Source organism: Homo sapiens, chromosome 1, assembly GCF_000001405.40.
Source record: "Homo sapiens chromosome 1, GRCh38.p14 Primary Assembly".
Taxonomy (NCBI): Eukaryota; Metazoa; Chordata; class Mammalia; order Primates; family Hominidae; genus Homo; species Homo sapiens.
The window spans coordinates 236,868,769-236,891,471 of NC_000001.11; the positions used below are offsets into that span (position 1 = coordinate 236,868,769).

The 22,703-nt window shown below is 42.4% G+C and overlaps 1 protein-coding gene across 13 annotated transcripts in view; it reads left to right on the plus strand.

The window, feature by feature from the left end:
• MTR (5-methyltetrahydrofolate-homocysteine methyltransferase) overlaps positions 1-22,703 on the plus strand; it is a 108,701-nt gene that overhangs the window by 73,488 nt on the left and 12,510 nt on the right. For 8 of the 13 annotated variants that reach the window (NM_001291939.1, XM_005273141.6, XM_047421182.1 and 5 more), the window contains 7 exons: positions 5,005-5,072; positions 5,958-6,078; positions 11,987-12,068; positions 16,353-16,451; positions 17,524-17,599; positions 20,413-20,568; positions 22,365-22,561. In NM_001291939.1, coding sequence (NP_001278868.1) covers positions 5,005-5,072; positions 5,958-6,078; positions 11,987-12,068; positions 16,353-16,451; positions 17,524-17,599; positions 20,413-20,568; positions 22,365-22,561 — 799 coding nt within the window. The remainder of the gene's footprint in view (positions 1-5,004; positions 5,073-5,957; positions 6,079-11,986; positions 12,069-16,352; positions 16,452-17,523; positions 17,600-20,412; positions 20,569-22,364; positions 22,562-22,703) is intronic. The other 5 variants (XM_047421186.1, XM_047421185.1, XM_017001330.3 and 2 more) reach the window with 1 other exon arrangement.

The window sequence follows — 22,703 nt, forward strand, 5'->3', positions numbered from 1 at the left end:
ATGGCTGAGCATGAAAATAATTCCAAACTGTATAATGTTGGAACGTTCAGCTGAGTGAGGAACATGATTGTACCTAAGTCAAAGATACGGTAATGCAGTCTCTCCTGAGAACTTCACATGCTGATAATTATTTAGAGGATTTGGATCCATTTTTTGAAGGAGAGATCAACAATTTGTTTATTTTTTTTAAAAAGTAATGGAAATGGCAACAGACCCCACTGGCACTACTTAAGTACAGGTTGGAAACCATGGCTGGACTGCAGACTGGATGGAAACACATGCCATCTTGTGGTGGCATGTGTGAATTGCAGGAGCAGCAGACAGGCTGCCACCTTAGTTAACTGAGAAATAAAGGGTAAAATGACAGCAAGTATCAGGTACCTTAAAAGGATGCAGATGCAGTTTTATTTTCCTTTTTAAATTTCTTCTGGAGACGAAAAGGACTTTTTGTCTTACATTACAGTATTTTTGAAATTCTGTGTATTCTTAAATAGTATGAGATGCCTTTGCTAAAACATTCAGTGCAACTTTTTTTTTCCTGGATTAGTATCCAAATTAAATGCTTGCTCTCATAGCTCTATTCTAAGCACTTAAAAAAAGAGTTTTTTTGTAGAGACAAAGTCTCGCTAATGTTGCCCAGGCTGGACTCAAACCCCTGGCCTCAAGTGATCCTCCTGCCTTGGCCTCTTAAAGCACTGGGTTTACAGGCATGAGCCTCCATACCCAACCTCTCTTCTGAGCACTTTAAAACAAATACTGTAAAATCAACAACTTCCGTAACATTCATTTTTATTCTCTTTAGCCTCCCATGTGGCGAAATACAGGAATGTGTATAGGGAGAGGCTTACAGACATAGGGTATGGCTCAAAATGACAAAGGGAAACTGAGGGAGAGTCAAGGAAGATGGGGTTATGTGTAGGGGTAAAACAGGAGGTTGTGGTAGAGGTGAGAGGGATGGTGGGAAGAATGGTAGCAGGCACAGAGGGCAGGCTGGATCTGACCTGTGCCCTCTTCTCCGACTTCACATACCCTGGGATTCCTAGCTAGTTCAGGACTCTGGGCCCTCATAGTGCTGGTCTCTGCCTAGACTTCCCTGTTTCCTTCAGCTAATACCCACTTAATTTTTCAAAATCCATTTCAGACTTTCCCCTAGGATGCTTCTGGTTGTCACCCATTTTGGGCCTTCCATACATAGTACACTGTAAATGCTTTCATTGTAGTACTTGCCACACCATATTCTAATTCAGAGCTTGCCAACAGTTTCTCAACTCAGATGTGCCAGGAAACCCATTCTCTTTCCTGCTGGAGAGTGGAACTGGGCCTCTGTCCTACATGGGTTGACCAGGGCTGTGAGCAACTTCCTTTGTGCATCCCAGTACCATAAGTGTCATTTCAGTGTGTGGAAATAGTGAGAATTGCCCTCTAATCAATAGTACATTTGACTATTTCCCCAGCAAGACGACTTTGAAGGCAGGCTAATTAGCTGGAAATTGAACTTGTCACCCAGGCCTCTGGCTCAGTGTTCTTGGTCGTTTTCTTACCTCACTGATCTGTGGTTATGATTCTCTCCTGCTGATCTCTCCTTCTGGGAGTGGTCTTTAAACACAGAAATGTTCTGGGGCTCAGCCCTTGGACCTCTTCTCTGTCTTCACTGTCTAGATGTGTGTTTCTCAAACTGTAATGTACCTTCTTGTCACCTGGGGATTTTGTTAAAAGTCAGATTCTGATTAGGGTAAGTCTGGACTGGAGGTTCTGCATTTCCGACAAACTCTCAGATAGGGCTGGTGCTGCTGGTACAGGAGCACACCTGGAGTAACAAGGCCTGGGGTGGGCTGAAGTCGTCTCATTCGTTTTGTGACTTCAGTATCATCTGATGTACTGACAAGTCCCAAATTGTATCTCCACTGTGGATCTCTCCCCCAGACTTTAGACTTACATATCCAGTGGACTCCCTGACAGCTCCATTTGGATATCTAAAGAAATCTCAAATTTAATATTTTGAAAACTGAACTAATTGCCACCATTTTGTGAACACCTCCCCAGCTCTCCCCTATTTCAAGAAATAGCAACTTCATTTTTCTTGCTGCTCAAACCGAAACTCTTGCGTCATCCTCTCGTCAGATAACCCGCATGTAACCCATCAGTTCTCCTTTCACAGTATTTCCAGGATCTGACCACTTCTCACTACCTACACTGCTTCTTGTCTGGATTTTTGCAGCAGCCTAACCAGTCTCTCTGCTTCTCTACCCCGGACTTGTTTCAGTCCCAAGTAAATCTGTTAAATCTAAGTCAGATTTCTTACTCCACTGTTCAGACCCTCCAGTGATTTCTCTCTTCGCTCAGTAAAACTCAGAGCCCTTGTAGTGGTCTGCAAGGCCCTTGTGTAGTGGGTATAATCTGGAAGCTTCCCGGACCCCACCCCTGGTCAGTTAAATCACAGTCTCTGGAAAATGGAGTCCAAGCTTCAGGTTGTTTGATTTTGAAAAGGCTCCCCTGGTGATTCTGATGCGAAGTCTACACAGGCTCTGGCCTTTTCCTCCTCCTCTGAACTTATCACCCACAACTCTATCCTTCTCCGTTTCTGTTCCAGCCACAACAATTTCCTTACTCTTCCTTAAACATGGCAAGCATCCACATAAGATGTTCCTGAGAGAAACACTGCTGAAACAAGAAAAAGCAGTGACAGCAAGATGATTCTTGCCATCATACTGATGCGTTTTAGTTGAATTTTAAAACATATACAATGTTAAAAAAAAAATCAGCTTTGAAATGTATGCCTTTTTGTCTTGATTTAAAAGCAGTATGCTATTTTTCCTAGTTTTATATGTGACAGTCTATGCTTAGTCATTGTTTAACAAAAGATCCAGGTACTAGACTTTCTTCAATATGTTAAAAAGAAAAAAAAAGCATGTGGTACCATCTCACTCCTGCTATAACCTGCAGTGGTTATACATCATTAACACCTCCAGCGTGCATTTGCTACTGGGTTAGTGCCAACAAAGCTGAATATACTTACCATTGATTTGAAGTTGTCTTACTTTTTACTGAAGATTCCATATGTCATAGTTTTTTTTTTAACTTTTTTTAAAAAAGTAATATGAGTACAAGCTAAAAATCCAGTGGTATGAAAGGGCATATAGTGAGAAGCCAGTCCCCTTCCTGCCCCAGCGTTCAGCACCCATTGTTACCAGCCAGTATGTCATGTTGTAGTCTTAAGCATTCTTTTTTGTTCTTGTTATTTAAACGTTTTTGCCTATTTAATTTTAAGAATTGTTGATGTAATGAAATAAGTAAAAATGCATGCTGTAAGTTTTTCAACATCTTTTAACAAATAGAAGAAGGTTAAATTATCAAAATGACATTAAGGTACTCTGTAAATTTAAAATAGAAGTAATTCCTAGAACATTTTCCAGGGCAGACATTCCTGTTTCCTCTGAGTTCCAGGAAGCTCTCTCCTCCATGAATTGAAATTTGTCTGGCACTGTTCCGTTCTCTGAGAGTGTGCTCCAGGCTTCCTCTGCCCCAGCGCCTGTTCTCCTGTGTGCCCATCTAGAGTCTGCCTTTCCTTTCAGTCTTGCCCTCTTGCCCTCGGTGACCTGCACCCTGAATCACTCTCCCTCTTTTTCTTGCGTTAAGTAATCAGAGTTCCCTGACAGCTCTTCGTGTGCAGGACCTGACCTCTTTTTCATGATCTTCCCTGTTGGCTTCCAAGTTCAACAGGTGTTTATTGAGGAACTTCCCTAGCCCTTTTTATTGGCCTAAATAGATAAGATAATGGATTTTGGAGTGAGATACTGATTCAGATCCCAACTCTGCCTCTAATTAGTTGTGTGACTAGACAGATTGCTTAATTTCTCTGGGCCCCTTCTCATTAAAATGAGACCCATAGTAGTGCTTTCATGATAGAGTTACTATGAGGGTTTAAATGAGATCATTTATGCAGGCCGGGCACTGTGGCTCAAGCCTATAATCCTAGCTCAAGCCTGTAATCCCAAAGGAAGCCGAGGTGGGAGGATCACTTGAGCCCAGGAGTTTGAGACCAGTCTGGGCAACATAGGGAAACCCTATCTACAAAAACTGTAAAAATTAGCTGGGTTTAGTGGGGCATGCCTGTGGTCCCAGCTACTCTGGAGGCTGAGGCAGGAGGTCAAGGCTGCAGTGAGCCGTAATCACGCCACTGCACTCCAGCCTGGGTGACAGAATGAGACCCTGTCTCAAAAACAACAGCAAAAGAGATTGCTTATGCAAAAAGCTGAGCACAGTGTCTTTCAACAGATGAATGGATAAGCAAAACATGTTATCTCCATACAGTGGAATATTTTTTGGCCTTAAAAAAGACTGAACTTCTGACATGCCTCAAAACATGGTTGGACTTTGAAGGCACTGTGCTAAGTGAAGTTTAGCCAAACACAAAAGGATGAATACTGTATTATTCTACTTATGCGAAATATCTAGATAAGGCAAATTCATAGAGAAAGAAAGTAGAGTAGAGGTTACCAGGGGATGGAGTGGAGAGGGTGGGAGAGAAGAAGGGGTAGTTATTGCTAAATGGTTACAGTGTTTCTGCTCTGGGTGATAAAATAAGTTTGGACGTAAATAGTGATGATGGTTGCTCAACATTGTAACTGAAATTCATGCTACTGGATTATACATTGAAAAATGGTTAAAATGGAAAAGTATATATTATGTATATTTCACCACAATTAAAAAAATAACATACCAGAAACCATTGAATTGCACACTTGAAATGGGTGAATTGTATGGTATGTGAATGATGGTCGGTAAAGCTGCTTAAAAGCAAGCTTAGCATAGTGCCTGGCGTATATGTAGTAAGTACTGAATAAATGGTAGTTGTGGTGGTAATCCTCAATATTTAGTGAGCATTTCAACTTGATTCTCGTTTACATTAGAGCAGTATTTAATGGTTGAAATAAAAATGTTCATTTCAGTTTTGTCTCTAATGGGCTTTCATTAATTTTCTCATGTCTCATTTCTGTGCCTCAGAGTTATTGATTTAGGAGTCATGACTCCATGTGATAAGATACTGAAAGCTGCTCTTGACCACAAAGCAGGTACTGTGCAACTATACTTTGGGCATTTCTCTAAATGTCATATCCCCAGGTGTCTGTCATTTCCCTAGTTGTCTGTCAGTGAATAGTGATGCCCCATGAGGGTTCTGTGGGACATACAATCAAGTGCCAGCTCCTGCACCAGGTTGCTTTCATTGCCATTTCTAATGGGGTTGAGAGACGAGAATGAGTAACTATGGAACCGAGTCCTGGAGATGGGGAATGGGGACAGACTTCTTAGAACAGTTGTATGTAGTCATTTTTATATTTCTTCTCACACTGTGATATATTCAAGTCCGGGAAATCATGAGCTAAATATACCTTTATTGCATCGTTTCCTAAAACTATGGCAAGTAATTATTGCAACTTTAAGTTATAAATCTTATTTACTACCAAAAGCAAACAATAGATTGAAATTCCCCAGTCGGAAAAGATGTCTTAGAATTAGAAACTGGGGATGGGCGCAGTGGCTCACACCTGTAATCCCGGCATTTTGGGAGGCTGAGGCAGGCGGATCATTTGAGGTCAGAAGTTTGAGACCAGCCTGGCCAACGTGGTGAAACCCTGTCTCTACTAAAAATACAAAAATTAGCCAAGCTTGGTGGTGGGCACCTGTAATCGCAGCTACTCAGGAGGGGCAGGAGAATCGCTTGAACCCAGGAGGCAAAGGTTGCAGTGAGCCGAGATCGCGCCACTGCACTCCAACCTGGGCAACCGAATGAGACTCCATCTCAAAAAAAAAAAAAAAGAATTAGGAATTGGGAATTCATGTTAGGTCTTTTGGTCTTCATTACAAAGTTTTTTAAATGGATCTTCATCCTTTTCCTTTTTCTTTCATCTTCCTCACTGTCCTTTTTGTCCTTTTTTTTTTAAAAAAAAAAAAAATAGATATAATTGGCCTGTCAGGACTCATCACTCCTTCCCTGGATGAAATGATTTTTGTTGCCAAGGAAATGGAGAGATTAGCTATAAGGATTCCATTGTTGATTGGAGGAGCAACCACTTCAAAGTAAGTTATACTAATGAGCTTTGTCCTCACTTCAAATTTTCTTATATGCCAGTGTTTGAAACAGTGGGAAACCTGTGTTGTTTTGGATTTTCCCTTATGTTTAGTACATTGACTTTTTGTTATATAAACACAAACATTTTCTGGTGTTCACTTGGGTGAGAGCCAGAATACTTTCAGAGCATGCTATAGAAAACTTTTTGTGATTCCTATTCTTTGCTTTTTCTTGGATTTCTTTGGCTTGCAATAATCTTTTTCTTAACACTCTCACTTGCGATTCAGTTCCTGAGAATTATAATGAACTCTTCTCGTGAAATTAAACCGAGTGGAGAAGCTGTGTTTTTTGGCACAAAATCATTACTTGAACTTTTGCCCACTCTGTCTTGAAGCAGGTGTCTGACTGAATGATTACAGGTTCCTTTGAAGGAACTCTAACCTTGTAGTAGTTTGGAGACAGAAAGCCCATCTAGCAAGAATGAACTAAATGGTCACTTTGGGGAGTTCCTGAAAGGGGAGCTTTGTGGGAACCTTTGGGTTAACAACATAAAGAGGTATAAAATGTAAAGATGAGAAAGTTCAAATTTGTTCACATGATAATTATTCAGTTTACCAGATTTTTCCTGGGATCATGATCATAGTGATATGTGGTAAGTGCTACGTTAACTGTGGGTACTAGACTTTTTATGCCATGTACAGTTCACTTTCTCAGCATTATCATACTGGAACATTGAACACAGTGGTCCCATAGCATCTAGTTTATTTTTCTGATGCAGAAATACAATAAAGGTCTGGTTATAGGTATGCCAGAAATACAATAAAGATCTGGGTATAGGTATACAATAAAGGTCTGGTTCCATAGGTATGCCACAATAAAGGTCTGGTTATAGGTATGCAAAAGAAAAGTGTTCCTTTTGCACTACAAACAACTGTACTTTTAGCCAATTTGTATAGGGTTGTTCAGAGGAACAGAATCAATAGGATATGTTTATATATAGAGAGAAAGAGATTTATTTTAAATAATTAACTCCTGTGATTGTGGAGGCTGGCAAGACTGAAATCTGCAGGCTGGAGACACAGGTAAGTTGATTTTTTGAGTCTAAAGGCAGTCTAGAGGTGGAATTTCTTCTTCCTTGTAGGGCTGGGGAGTGAATAAGGGACTCCTTGTCTTGTCTCTTAAAGGTCTTCAGCTGACTGGATGAGGCCCACCAACATAGTGGAGGATAATGTGCTTTACTTAGGTCTACTGATAAATGTTAATCACATCAAAAAAAATACTTTCACAGTAACATTTAGGTTGTGGTTAACCAAAAAGTAGATACCATGGCCTAGCCAAGTTTATACGTGAAATTAACCATCATACCATTTAAAATTTGAATGAGTCATCTTCATAAGTAGAAACAGTATTATGTGTCTTTTATCCATTAGCTGTTCTTCATACTTGAAGGATTCGATAGTTTGACTATCGTTGCTTAACGTTAGAAAACAGGGTTTGCGTTTCCACAAAGGACTTATGTACCAGGAAATGTGGCAGACTTGGTCTCAAGGGATATGGCCACCCATTAATAATGGGTTTTGATGAGCATGGGCTTGGGTAATTGATGACAGGCTTAGTGAAGAGAATGGTAAGAGGACCTATGGACTGTTGTCAGAATGAAAGACTTTAATATCAACTGTGAAGTAGAATAAATAAATATTTAAAGGAACATAATTAAAATACATTATGTGTTATGTAAATATGATGCTGGCTTCAAAAAAAGAATCTTTTTATATGGTGGGACACTACACTCAGAAATTTGCTTCTTGTGCAAATTGGAACTTTACCAAATAGTCCATTCTATCATTTACTATGTAAAAGCTACCAGATTAAAGAAAAAAAAACATTGAGAAGCAACGTGACTAGCCTCTCAAGATACATTATTGGCAAAATTAGCTTGCTAATGATTCTTAGCAGTTGCAACCTGATATATCAGATTAGAATTAACAAGATAGGAAATCACCAACATCTCTTCAGTTACTGCGAAATATCTATTCTCATTGTCTGGGAAACTGTAAATGTGTTTGGCCTGAAGGTAGAAAGCTGAGTCCACTGACCACCTAAGGTTTCTTTCAACTCTCCAGAGCATTGTTTCTGTATGAGCCCTGCCTCTTCTGGTTCTCTTCTCTTCCATGCCTGTTGCAGTTTCTGGGAAATTACTTGGAAAATAAGAGCTAGTAGGTAGCACTGCTTCCCGGGAACCATTCCCTTCTACACTGTGGTGCTGGAACAGCCTTTGGAAAACAGATTTCCACGCAACCTCCAAGCACTTCACTGTAGAATTTCCCAGTTCTGACTCCATTCTAATTAGTGACAGTGGATGAGGTCTGCGATCTGAGGTCTTGCTTTAGCAAGCTCTCTTATTTAAGTAAGTGCTTTTACAGAAGTTTAGCAGTTATACAGAAAAGTACACAAATCATATAGATGTACAACTTGACAAGTTTTTACAAAAGGGAACCCACCCATGTAACCACCTCCAGATCAAGAAATAGAACACTAATGGCACCCTAGGAACCTCAGCAGGTTCCTCCACCCAGTCATCCTTTCCAACAAAAGTAACCACTGTTCTTTCTTGTCACCATACGTTGGTTTTGCTTGCATTTCAACTTTATATAAGTGGAGTCATATTGTATGTGCTCTCCTGTGTCCGGCTTCTTTTGCCCCACATCAGCCTTGTTACGATAGTTGTTTGGTTTTTTGTTGGTTTTTTTTCAATGTAGTATTCCATTGTATAATGTGCTGTGACTTATTTACTCTTGCTACTGTTGGTGGACATTTGAGGTTTTCCACTTTGGGGCTATCACAAACAATGCTGCTATGAACACTTATGCTTATGAATTTTGGTGCACATGTATGTGTATTTTTGCCTAGAAGCAGAATTGCCAGATCATAGGATATGCCTATGATCATCTTCATTAGCTATTGCCACATAGTTTTCCAAATTGTAGCAATTTACACTCCCACAAGCAATTGTGAAAGTTCCAGTTATTCCACGTTCTTTTCAATGGTATCCCTTGTCATGGGTGTAGTAATACCTTGCTATGGTTTTCGTTTGCATTTCTCTGCTGAGTAATGATGTTGAACACCTTTTCATTTATATATTGACCATTTGGATATGCTTTTTAAATATTTTTAAAAATTGGGTATTCTGCTTTATTCTTATTGGTTTGTACACATTCTTTAGTTTATAGTAGTTACAAGTCCTTTATCAGAAATACATATATTGCAAATAGATTTTTTTTCAATCTGGCTTGCCTTTTGCTATCTTAGTGCTGTCTTTGGATAACAAAAGTCTTAATTTTTATAAAGTCCGATTTATCAGTCTCTTCATATATGGTTAATGCCTTTTGCATCCAAATAAGTAAGTCATCTCCTAGGAGAGCCACCTTTGCTAGAAATAGAAAGCATTCAGGAGTTGAAGTGTCTCAGAAGCCCATCTGAGAGCCCTTATGATTTCCCACAAACCAGTGGAGGACTTAGCAGTAGCTCATTAGCTCAGGACTTCCACGTTTTCATGAAAACATCGCTGAGGGGAGATAACCCTATGGCTTTTCCAGACATCAGTGACTTGCAGTAGCGTGAGTAGAACTGGAACTGTACCCCCAAGATACTCGAAATGAAGGTTAAGGCTGTCTAGTGCAGGAGTGTCCAGTCTTTTGGTTTCCCCGGGCCACATTGGAAGAATTGTTTCAGGCCACACATAAAATACACTAACACTAACAATAGCTAATGAACTGAAACAAAAAAAATCTCATAATGTTTTAAGAAAGTTTATGAATTTGTATTGGGCCACATTCAAAGCTGTCCTGAGCTGCATGTTGGACAAGCTTAGTCTAGTGGATGAATCGATATTTGGAGAGATTGAAAGAGTTCAATAGATTTGGGGTCTTTGGTCCCTGAGCACACACTGGGCATAAAACAGGAGGGTCTCAGGAGGCCATGGAGTTCATTAATCTGCCCCAGGGCCATGGTCTGGCCTCCCTACCACTCTGTACCCCAGCCTTCCCATTCCAAAAGATGGCTCTTGACTCACTGGCTTATGCCTGAATGCCCATCTTCCAGCTCAGTTCTCATAGCCTAAGGCTTTGTAGTCCTTTGCTTCCGTTTACAAGTGGACATACTGTTAGGAAGATGGAACAGGTGAAGTGTTACTGGTCTTGTCTGTCTTATGAGTTTTTAGAGCCTTCCTTGAGAAGCCTGTTAAAAACACACTCATGCATATATTACACCTATAACAGTCTCTTGGTTTTTAAAAATTACCTCAATGATCCACATTTACTAGACCATGTCAAACAATTCAGAGGAATGTAAAGTACAATTGAATCTCTCTCTTCCAACCTTCAGCCTCACCTCTAACCCCCATAACCAGTGTGGACACTTCGATGTGTATCTTCCTGTGTTTTTTCTAAATATATAGAAACTTAGATACAGGATTGGTTGGTTGTTTGGAAAAGCTTGAGGGTGGTGTTTCTTAAAAATACAATTGCATTAAATATAGTGTTCTGCTACTTTGTTTCTTTCTCATATAATAGCATATTCTGGATAATATTCCAAACATATGTTTTTGTCGAGGGGGAAGAATATGAAAGCACTTGAGGAAGAGTACTGCTACTTCTGGGGAGGAGGAGAGAGGATAAAAGGCAGAAAGCACTGCCCATCTCATGGGGACTGCTGCTGGCCACCCTTCTAAAGGTGGGATGTGGCCAGAACACAATTCTCCTCCCTCTCCAGGGGTTCTGGATTAACCACTGTAAGGGAGGCTGTACATGTTTTCAGTTTTCACTTTAATTCATTATGTTCTATCATGAAATAGCAGATTTGTAGCCTATCCTATTGCTGTAAACATGCAGTCATCACAGGGCAGTTTGTTTTGCACTTCTGTTAATTAGGCAATTTTAAGAATGAAAGGGCCTTTCTTCCTAATACCAACATTTTCAAGTTTGGTAATAGGGATGTGGGGCTGAACCAATCCTAAATATTAAAAGTAAAATATTGGCCAGGCACAGTGGCTCATGCCTGTAATCCCAGCACTTTGGGAAGCCGAGGCAGGTGGATCACTAGGTCAGGAGATCGAGACCATCCTGGCTAACACAGTGAAACCCCATCTCTACTAAAAAAAAAAAATAGAAAAAAATTAGCTGGGCATGGTGGCGGGTGCCTGTAGTCCCAGCTACTTGGGAGGCTGAGGCAGGAGAATGGTGTGAACGTGGGAGGCGGAGCTTGCGGTGAGCCGAGATTGCACCACTGCACTCCAGCCTGGGTGACAGAGCTCCGTCTCAAAAAAATAAAATGAAATAAAATAAAAATATTTTTCTTGCTTTTGCCTCTCTGTATTATTTTATGTTGAATTTCAGGTTTGGGGTTCCATACTGCAAGTACAAGGTGGGGTTGGGGCTGAGGAGTGTTGATGTCTCCCATGAATAGGGGAGCAGCTGCTAGACAGCCATATCCTGTGTCCTCTGCCTGGTTCCCGGTTCCTTAGGGGCCCTGGCTGCTGTCCCAGCTCATTTGGAGGAGGGAACTCAACCTGACCTTGATGACAGCAGTGTGATTTCCTGGGCCTGGTTACCTCCCTTAAGTCACGTGGGCTGCGAATGAGCACCAGGTCATGCACGGGCTCAGTCCCTTGTTAACGGAGCTGAGGACAAGGTCTTTCTCTTCTGCAGAGCCTGGGCTAGGTTTCCCATCTTAGGGTAGGGAAAAAGTCATTCATGTTTTACGAGGGAAATTTGAAGTTCAGTATTTGTAGGTAAGCACCTTGAAATGTTTCTCTGGAAAGCACTGTAGAAATACATTATCTCTAATGGCGCTGAACAAGAGTTGTATAGGAACTGTCAGTGCTGATGGATATATTTTCTTTCTGACCCTTCTTTTTAGAACCCACACAGCAGTTAAAATAGCTCCGAGATACAGTGCACCTGTAATCCATGTCCTGGACGCGTCCAAGAGTGTGGTGGTGGTAAGTGGGTGACCTTACATTTTATTCCAGATGTGTTGGAAAGCTTGCATTACAAGTAAGGGTTTAACTTAAGATCTATTCATTTTTATTCAGTTCTACTAAATAAAGGTCAAAGAGCAGCCTGAGGCTCATGGTGTGCCTCTGCAGTGACTGCCTTGCTGGAAGGAGGTCCAGGTGACCATGTCCTATACTTTCAAAGACAATTACAGAACTGAGCAGCAGACAGGTAGATGGCCTGGCACCAAGACATCTTTGACCTGGACACCAACCAGACAAAGATTTCACCCACTCACAAACATGAATAGATGTTTGCTTGACTGTCTAAAAGGAATGTTGGATTTTTAAATGACCTTTTTCCAGATAGAAAAACAAACTCAAAAGTGTCCTAGTTGACCCTACCCAAAGACAGAAAAACATCTGCTAGATATTTAAAACCCAGAACAGTGGTTTCTGCTTCTCTGTGAACATCATAAACAATTCACCCACGTCCTGCTTTTCTCTTTCAGTGAAGCCTAACATTCTATCTTGTTATAGGTTTCATTGTTTTCACTGAATAATGGGATATAACAGCTGGGGTGCACCCGAGAGGCAGTGTGGTCCAGGGGTTTCCAAATTGATTTCAGCCACAGAATCTTTGTCTGTTAAGTGACGTCTTACCTGGAAATTTAGTGTGGCAGAATTTCCAGGTAAGACGTCACTTACCGTCCCATCCCGCTCCTAGTGTCCATCAAAAGAGCACAGTTTGAGAACCACAGATTTAGCCCAGCCTTCACATTGTGCAGGCGAGGAAGGTTACGGAGGTGGCCTGGTGATCTGCGAGACTTCCAGTGATGCCATGCGACCTGGACTAGGGTGACCGCATTTCCTGAGCTACCTTCCAAGGAAATTATTTCAGATCTGCGAATTTATTTACATGAAAGTTATATAATCATCACTAACATTATTGAAAATGTGTAGTGTGCCAGGTACTGAGCTAAGTGCTTTACATGGATTTTATTTAATCCTCAGGCTAACCTCATGATATAGGTATTTTTTGGTCCCCATTTTAGAGATCAGGAGACAGAAGAATAAAGAGATTAGGAACTCTGCTGAGACCACACGTCTGTCAAAGTGGCAGGTGTGGGATTTGAATGCAGGTTATCTTACTCTGTGTTAAATTAAACTTGTTTCCCATTAATATTTAACAATTCTCCTTCATTAAAAAGGATAAAATTAACTCAGTCTGGGATCATAAAATTGCAATTTTTTATTTGCCATTGATGTAGACAAATATGCAAATAAGCTATATTTCTACAACTCAATTTTAAAACAATTTTTGTTTCTTATTCTTGGATTGTGCTCCATAGGAGCTTATGTCAGGTCCATGGCTGAGTGCTGTGGGCCTCTTTTTAACACTTGTCATTATTTTCAAACACTGATGTATAGCCCTGAATAGTTTCCTTTCAGAGGCAAGACTTTTGGATCCATTTAGTTGCACAGTGCCAACCTTTCCTCTATAGGCAGGGGAAAGAATCAGCCCTTTGATTCCATGTTTGGAGGACAAACCCCTTCACCATTTTTTTTTTTTTTTTTGAGACGGATTGTTGCCCTGTTGCCCAGGCTGAGGTGCAGTGGCTCGATCTCGGCTTACTGCAACCTACGCCTCCCAGATTCAAGCAATTCTCCTGCCTCAGCCTCACAAGTAGCTGGGATTACAGGTGTGCACCACCACTTCCGGCTAATTTTTTTGTATTTTTAGTAGAGATGGGGTTTCACCATGTTGGCCAGGCTGGTCTTGAACTCCTGACCTCAAGTGATCCACCCGCCTCGGCTTCCCAAAGTGCTGGGATTACAGGCGTGAGCCACTGTGCCCGGCCTCCTTCACCATCTTGAAGAGCTAGAGCAGTGGGGGCCTTGCTGAAAGCCAGGCAGGGAATGAGGAGTGGGTGTTTGTGCTCTTTCCAGTTTGGTCCAGCCACGCAGCCAGCAGTGGTTAGCTCCTCCCGTGTACAAAGAAACGACCACATTTTGAAATTGCTAAAACATAAGTCAGATGATAAATCATGTGGGTAACTGCTGGTGACACTTCAGGAGCCAGTGGTATAATTTGTTTCAGTTGGTTGTGGGCTCATTGGCTCAGGCTCTTTTGATCTAACTGAAATGAACATGGAACAGGATCACATTTTAGCAGCTATCTCATATATTTGGAAGATTCCAAAAAGATGTAGCAAATACTTAATGGTTGGAGATTTAGACCCTTGCTTTCTTTTTTCTTCTTTAATAAAAAACGAGGTGCCAATATTTTATTCTTTTTAAATTATAAAATATCTTTTCAGTTTACTCCCTCTTATTGTGTGGCTGTTGCCATGAAATGTTATTTTTAAAAATGAAGGAAAATATAAACTGTGATATGTCCCAGTGGTTGGCATGAAAACACATGATGGATTTGATTTTTTGGTGGAAGGATCATGTAGGTTAGCGCACATATTGACCATGAACTTGTTTCCGTCAAGTAAGTCAGACTGGGCCAGAAGGGGCCTGCCACTGTGGCTCTGGGAGCAGCGGGCTTCATGGGGCTGTGCAAGGTGCCAGCAAACTGCAGCGGTATGTTCTGTCTACACAATAGCACCAGCATCAGGGGGTCGTAGATTCTCTGGATGTCAAGGACATCTGGTTTTGCTTTCTCAGAGTGTATAATCTAGCAAAATGCAAGAGGGCTTTAAAACATTGGTTACATACACTTCAGGGAGTTCAGAGTAGGCATTCCCTTCTTGTTTCATTGGGCTGTGCTGGGTTTCCTAAACGAGGACTCCATTGAGGTGAGTTTAATGTAAGGCTGGGGAATACTTTGTGGTGTGAACACTATTTAGGAACCTATTTTTGGCCTGCCACGATGGCCTTTTCTGATTGTATTCCTGAATGAGGTGATTTTGTTTTATACTAACTCATAGGTGATTGGATTGTTATTAGAGATACTTAGAAAACCCACATAGAGTTATAGAATTTTAAAGCTGGTAGGCACTTTAGCCGTCATTCAGTCTGACTTCCTTAAGTTCAGATGAAGATGTTGAACTTTCTTGCCTTTTTGTGTATTAGATAATCCTGCTGGAGAATGCAGGGATGGGGCAGTGCTATGTTTATTTTTTAACTGATGTGATCAGTAGCTGCCGTTTCTTCTTTCTATGTAATTTTATTTTGTGTTTTGATGGTAGCTATTCTTCTATCAACTTGATAATCATAATAACAAATAATATTTAGCTGATCCTACTTTTACAATTTAATGAGTAGACTTCACATTTTCTCAGATTATTGGTTTCCTTTCCAATTTTAGCAGAAAGTCAGTGGACTATGAAGATTAGCCTCATTCCCTCAGCAAACATTTAGTGAGAATGCACCTCCAGACACTGGGCTAGGCACCAGGGGCATGAAGGTAGTGAATGTGTGATTGCAGCTCTCATAGGGCTTTCTAGTAAGGGAAGTGGATATATAAATTGGAACTAAAAGGCTTTGGAAAGTGCAGTAGTAGATGAATAGAATATCTTTGAAACCTTGAGTTGGGAGTTTCTTAACCCAGAGGGTTCCCAAGACCACCTTCAGGTTCAAAGTTTCACTAGAAGGACACAGAGAACCCAGAAACACTGTTATGACCATGGTTTATTGTTGTGAAAGGATATAGGTTAAAATCAGGAAAGGCAAAAGGCACATAGGATGGAATGCAGGAGAGACCAGGTACAGGCTTTCAGGAGTCATCTCCCCCATAGAGTAATCTGGATGGTGCTTATTTCTTCCGCTGATGATATGTGACAACATGTAAGGAGCCTTGCCAACCCAGAAGCTTACCTGAGCCTTCACGTCCTGGGTTTTTATTGGGGGTTGGTCACATAGGCCCAGAATGCCCATGTGTCTAGCCTTAATTGTTCAGTCTTCAGTCCCTGCAGAGGTCAAACATAAGCATGAGCGAAGGTCCCCCACCATAAATCAGACTGTTAGCATAAACGATGTGACGTGGCCCAGGGTGCCAGGTATACAGTGACTCTCTTATCAGGCAGGCTGTCCCAAGGGTTTAGAGTTTGTCTCCCAGAAACCAGTCAAAGGCCAGTCCCTTCTTTGGCTTGTGCAGGGTTTGAACATCCCAAGCCCACTGAGTTTACCTTTTCCTGCACGCCAGGCAGGAATTAGCACAGTTGGTGAAGGGAGAAGAAATGAAGTTAAGGAAGCCTTCCTGAAGGAGGTGTTATCAGCATTGACCATTACTACACCAGTTTTATCATCTTTTGCTCATCTATGGCTATCTTGCATTTTCAGTGTTCCCAGCTGTTAGATGAAAATCTAAAGGATGAATACTTTGAGGAAATCATGGAAGAATATGAAGATATTAGACAGGACCATTATGAGTCTCTCAAGGTAAGTGGTAGAAACAGATTTTTGCTTGTTTTTAATGTGACTGTTTTTTATGATCCTAGTTTTTAATGTGACTTTTTAAAATGGTTTTGAGGAGTGTAAAAGGCTTTGGATCATTTTAGAGAATTTCTGTCTTCTAGTTCAAATCAGAGGTCTTCAGTGTCTTAAGTTCCCAAATAATTTTTGGTTGTATTGAAATGAATTTTATTTATTCAGCCAAACATTTACTGGGTACCCAGTAGGTGTTAGGGGCTGTGCTAGATATCAGAACTATGGTAATGAATAAAACATGAGTTCATACTCAGCAGGGAAACAGGTGCTGAAACAGTGTACTGAAATGACTCCCACAGACCCCCATTCTTCAGGAGCTAATGGAAGAAAATGGAGACATGAGGCAGGACCAGTATAAGCCTTTTGCCTGACTGCCCAACACTGACTGTGCAGAATGATGTTTTAAGAACTGTCCGTCTCTTGATCAGCTTCAGGGAATCCATGGAGAACAGGCATAATTAGGCTTTGGAAGTCACTGAAATATTTCTTTCCGGTTATCTGCCTTCTGGGCTTTGGTGGGAGCATTTTGGGAGTTGCTAGGCAAGTGAAATGAGATCAACAGCATGAGGAAAACACGCTGTTTTGCTTCTGAGGTGGTAGGTAGGCCAAGACGCAGTGGTTGGCTTTTTTCTCTCTCCTTAGGTTCGCCCACAGTGGACAGTTTCTTTAATTCTACCTTCTGGTCCTCAGGGTGGGCCATGGAAGACCAGTTAACAGCTGACCTCAGGTGTTCTAAAAGTACAGGTCAGACACCCCTAGTACCTCAGGTTCAGGCCGCAGAACTAGGCTCGTATTTATATATCAGCAGTTAATGGATGCTTATTAAGTCTTTACTATCTATTGTTCTGGTGCCAATGTGAAACCGACTGGGTAGAAAAGGAAGAGCTTTTTAGAATAAACATTCTCATGAATAAGAGCATTTGCTTTCTTGCAAAGCTTACATACTGGCCTTCTTGGACATGTTTTCACAGTAGTTGTAGAAAAGCTAAGAGTGTCTAACTAATTTTTCTTTGTTTTTTAACAGGAGAGGAGATACTTACCCTTAAGTCAAGCCAGAAAAAGTGGTTTCCAAATGGATTGGCTGTCTGAACCTCACCCAGGTCTGTTTGGCTATGGACTAGAGAAAGACTGGGTGTGGTAACTGACAGTGTGCTGAGGAAATACATGCATTTACTTGGCTGCAAAATCAAACCAGCAGCTAACGACTCTCAACTGTGTCTAATGCTGATGAGTGACTGATGACTGGAAAGAAAGGGAATAGGTACCATTTATGGAGCAGGTGTTGTGTGCCAGATACCATCCTGAGATGGACTCATAGCAGCTCTCTGAGTCCTTCAGACAACTCCATAATGGACATGGGAATTATCTGCATTTTAATTTGAAGAAACTGAGTTTTGGGTGGAAACTTGAAAGGTTACTAGGAATCTCTCTCTGGTCTGTCTTCTAAAGCCATGCTCTTTCCTCTGTGCTGTGCTTGCGTGGGTCCCCGTCTCCTTGAAGGAAGTTCTGTGGAAACCTGCCTGGGTGGTACTGTCACCTGAGGTGGCCTGGGTCTTTCGCAGGCCCAGGGGCAGATGTGAAATGTCTAAAATGGGAAACGCCTTTGCATTCACACATCTTTAAAACACTGCAGCAAAGCAGGATCCTCTATTTCTTGCTTTCTCTCTGTCCTCTCTCTGGATGTTTCCCTCTCTTTTTATTTCTTTTATTTGGTTTCTTCCTTTTTTTAAATTTCTAGCCACCTTTCTTGCCTCATATAGGTGTTCACAAGGGAATAAAACGTGTAAGATGTTTTGACAGGCGCAGAGAGGCGTGAGACACAAATGCAAAACCAAGATAGAGTGAACAGGGGTTATATTAATTGAATCCATATTTCCAAGGTAATGTATCAAATCAGCTTTCATTGCTCACGACATCTGTGTTCTACACATGCTTGGCAGAGTTGAGCGGATTAAATTGGAAATGTAGGTGTGCTTGGTTCTAATTTCATCCTTGCTGAGTTCAGCGTGGTTTGGTGGAAAGAATGCCATATTGGGAGCCTGGAGCTCGGGGTTCTCATCCCAACGTGGCTCCTGACTCTGACTCACGGAGTGACCTTGAGCAGCTTGCTTCCACGTTTGACAGTTTTTACCACGTAAAAAAAGGAGTTACTTTTTGGAAATGTTGTGAGGGTAAAATATTCTGTGAAAACCTTTGAAAAAATATAAATTGCTGTATAGTTCAAGCTCCGATTATTTGCTCTGTATCTTTCCCTGTGAAATTGGAATAATAACACAAGGGCAAGTCTGTTTGGATTAATTCAAACATCCAAAACGTATTTTGCTGGAAATACCCTCCAAAGGCCCACAGCACCTGGCAGCGGTTGGGATGCTTTTTTAGTGGCCGCTTTAACCTCTGGCATGGGCTACTGCAGGGTCCGCCCTGCTGCCCCAGGGCCATGGGCCACTGAGGGCTGGCCCTCTGAAATATGTCTTGAGGACAGCCAGTCCTAGGGTAGTTGCAGGAAGTCGGTAGGGAATAAAAGAGGGTTTTCTTTTACGGCCCTGATGGTAACACCTCAAACATTTCTTAAATTCTGGGAGACGAGAGAGTCCATCAGTGGCTCTGCAGCAGCATGTTCTCTCTGCCTTCCCAGGCGGGAGGACGCTTGAATCAAGGGTCTATCTGTAGATTCCTTTTAGTTTCTCTACTAAGGGGACTATAAAGGCTTTGTTACCAACAAACCAACATAATAGGATATTTCCAAAGAAGGGATTGTCCCGTGTAGTAGAAGGATGATGAGGAACAAATGGGAAAGGGCTACCGTGAACAAGTATGAAAAGGTAGAGATTTCCAGGCAGGAGTAAGAAGTCAAATGAGAGAAAAATACTCTAGAAGCTTCTGTGTTCTCCCAGAGCCCCTGAGATTGGTAGAATAGGAAGTTCCCTGATCCCTGGTTACAAATCAGGAAGTAGAGAGACAGGAAGGCTCGGATACGGCAATGGAGCCAACACCTTAGACTCCAGCCTAATCCTGCCATGTCAGACCAGAGTCTGAGGTGCAGACCACACTACAGTCTGGAGGGCAGATGGCAGTGCTGCTCTACCTGCCCCAGAAAGCCCAGCAGCACCATCTGTCTCTGAAGTCTTCACCATTATTTAAATTATGATGTATTTTAGACTCACCAGGAGGTATAAAGAACAATATATTAAACATCCACGTATACCCACTAGCCAGCTTAAGACATAACCTACCATCTGATTTTTAAAAAACGAAACAATGCAGAGTGAACAGAGGTTATATTAATTGAATCCATATTTCTAAGGTAATAAATCAGCTTTTCCTTGCTCATACATCTGTGCTGCACACATGCTTGGCAGAGTGGAGGATTATGTATTGAGGAGTATGTATCGGAAGTCCCACATGTGTCCCTTCCTCCCCTGCAGAAAGCACAGCAGTCCTGAATTTGGGACTTCATTTGCCTATACTTTGAGCATATGTGTCAGTAGACAATCTAGATGATTGTTTCCGGTTTTGAAACTTTAGATAAGTAGCTTACTCTCCATGTCTTTCTGGACATGTTCTTCATGTTCTTTCATGTTCTTCATGTTCACCTTGTCTTCATTTGTGCAAGTGAGGATTAACCCGTCTGTCTTTCCTTCTTGGGCAGGGGGTGGGGATGGAAGGGTTGAGGGAACAGTTTCCAAGGGTGGTGTAGTCAGCTGCATGTGAAGAATAGTTTTATTTAAGACTCAGTGCAGAATTACTCCTTCTCCACGATAATTTAAAGTTCCCCTCTTTGTAAAACAACTCCTACGGGTGACAGGAGGGAGGCGGAGTGTGGGAGTTGGCAGAGCAGTGAGGAGCTGGCAGGGAGGCCTCCATCAGGCAGGGTGCCAGCGTCAGCATTGACAACCATACTTCTCTCCTGTAGTGAAGCCCACGTTTATTGGGACCCAGGTCTTTGAAGACTATGACCTGCAGAAGCTGGTGGACTACATTGACTGGAAGCCTTTCTTTGATGTCTGGCAGCTCCGGGGCAAGTACCCGAATCGAGGCTTTCCCAAGATATTTAACGACAAAACAGTAGGTTAGTGCAGTAAGTCCTTCCTTTCTGCCTCTGATATTCAAGCTGTGGGATTGTGACTTTGAAGACCGGAATCGGTGAGGAGCAGTGGATTTGGATTGTGCAGATTACGGCTGCTTTCATATTGCTCACCTGCCCAACTTTTTAATGGTTTTCAATCTGCTAGATTGGTCCTTATTGCATCAACTAAATTTGGTATTTACTTTATTCTTTCAATAAATGTTTATTGACATCAGTTACATGCTGAGCACTAGGGATAAATGGAAGACAATATAATCCCTGCTGTCTAGCACCTGACTAGCTGGCACATCCAATAGTAATGGGCCCTGCCTGGGCTCCTGTGGACATAAGAGGAGATAGAGCTCAGACTGGGAGGTCAGGGCAGGCTTCCTGGACAAGGTGGTGTTCGAACTGTTTTTGACGATTCAGTGGGAGTTGCCGTGGCTGGGACTGTGGATGTGATATGGTGTTGAAGAAAAGGTCATTCCAGGTAGAGGAGACAGTGTGAGAAGGCACAGGCACATGTGCCTATTTGGGGAACTGCAAGGAGCCCATTGTGCTTGGAGCATTGGGGAGGGAATGGGGATTTAGGGTGATAAACTAGAGAAGTAAGTGAGGTGTTAAATTACTACCCCCACTTCTCACTTCTAGCCTTACCCCAGAATCCACCGACAGAGACACGGAATCCAAATGCAAAGCCATTCAAAGGATCAGGTAGTAGCCAGATCAGAGCAGCAGGGAGGGGTAGACTCACAGAAGCATGGGATTAGGGCTGAGAGGAGCCTAGAAACCAGCCTTTTGCCAAGTTTCCCACGGGGGGGCGTGCCTGGGTGTGCGTGTTCGGATGCTGAGACTCAGGAACTCTCAGGTAGTCAGGAACGTGGTGATGAGCAAGGGGCTTCTTAGTGTGCTGCCCCTGAATCATCACAGGTGAGCTGTCCAGGGGCCGTGGGACAGGCTTCTCACCATGGGCAGGGTGGCCGAGTCTCACGGAAACCGAGATGGTGTCCTCGGAGGCTGGCTCCCACTGCAGGTCCGGGAGCAGGCCAGCCCAGGTGCAGCATTGAAGCCACATGTGAGGATTTGGGCCACACTTCACCCCTTACCACTAACGTTCCCTGTACACATACAATTCCACTGACTTCACAGCGACCTCTGGGGGACGGGGCCTGTGCCTTATATTCACCATGCTTTGTATTCTGTGGTGTCTGGGCCTGGACGCATACAGTGAGGATTTACCGAGTCTGAGTGCATAGGGTGAGGATGTAGCTGTCCTTGTTTAACTCTTCATGGTACTGTTGAAGGCCCCAAATTGAAGAATCCCTTCAGAGGTTGTTACGGTCAAAATGTCAATCGTTACGAATTATATTGTAGTTGGGATTAAAAGCACCACGGAATACGAGGCACAGGTCGCGTCTCCCAGAGGTCACTGCAAAGTCAGTGGAGTTGTATGTGCACGAGGAATGTCAGTGAGGAATGTGGCCTGCTCTTTCTCATCCTCTCTGACAGAATGCTTTGGGGAGCCACAGCTTTGGCTCTCTGCTTTTTGTCCAGTGGAAAACTTGAGTGGCTTGAACTGGGAGAAGCAGACTGTGGGAGCTGCACTTAGCAGGAGCCGCAAAGCCCTGGCTGTTCCACTTTAAGCTGGGTCAGTGGCAAACACCAGAAAGCATTTGAGGAAAATGGAGAAGCCTGAAGAGGGAAGGTGACTGAGGAGGGGTAATGGCTTTTAAAAGAAGCATTGTTTGATGGTTATTTTTGGCATCTTTAAGTGAATTCTAATTCTGTTTTTCTAATAGGTGGAGAGGCCAGGAAGGTCTACGATGATGCCCACAATATGCTGAACACACTGATTAGTCAAAAGAAACTCCGGGCCCGGGGTGTGGTTGGGTTCTGGCCAGCACAGAGTATCCAAGACGACATTCACCTGTACGCAGAGGCTGCTGTGCCCCAGGCTGCAGAGCCCATAGCCACCTTCTATGGGTTAAGGCAACAGGTATGGAAGGTGTACTGACAGCCAGCACACCGCTTTCGCTTGTGAGTTTAAGCACTACACAAAAGAGCTTTGCATAAATGAGGGTCTGCTTCACCTCCTCCCAAATGACCAATCACATGCCCAAGAAGTGACCAGTCACACG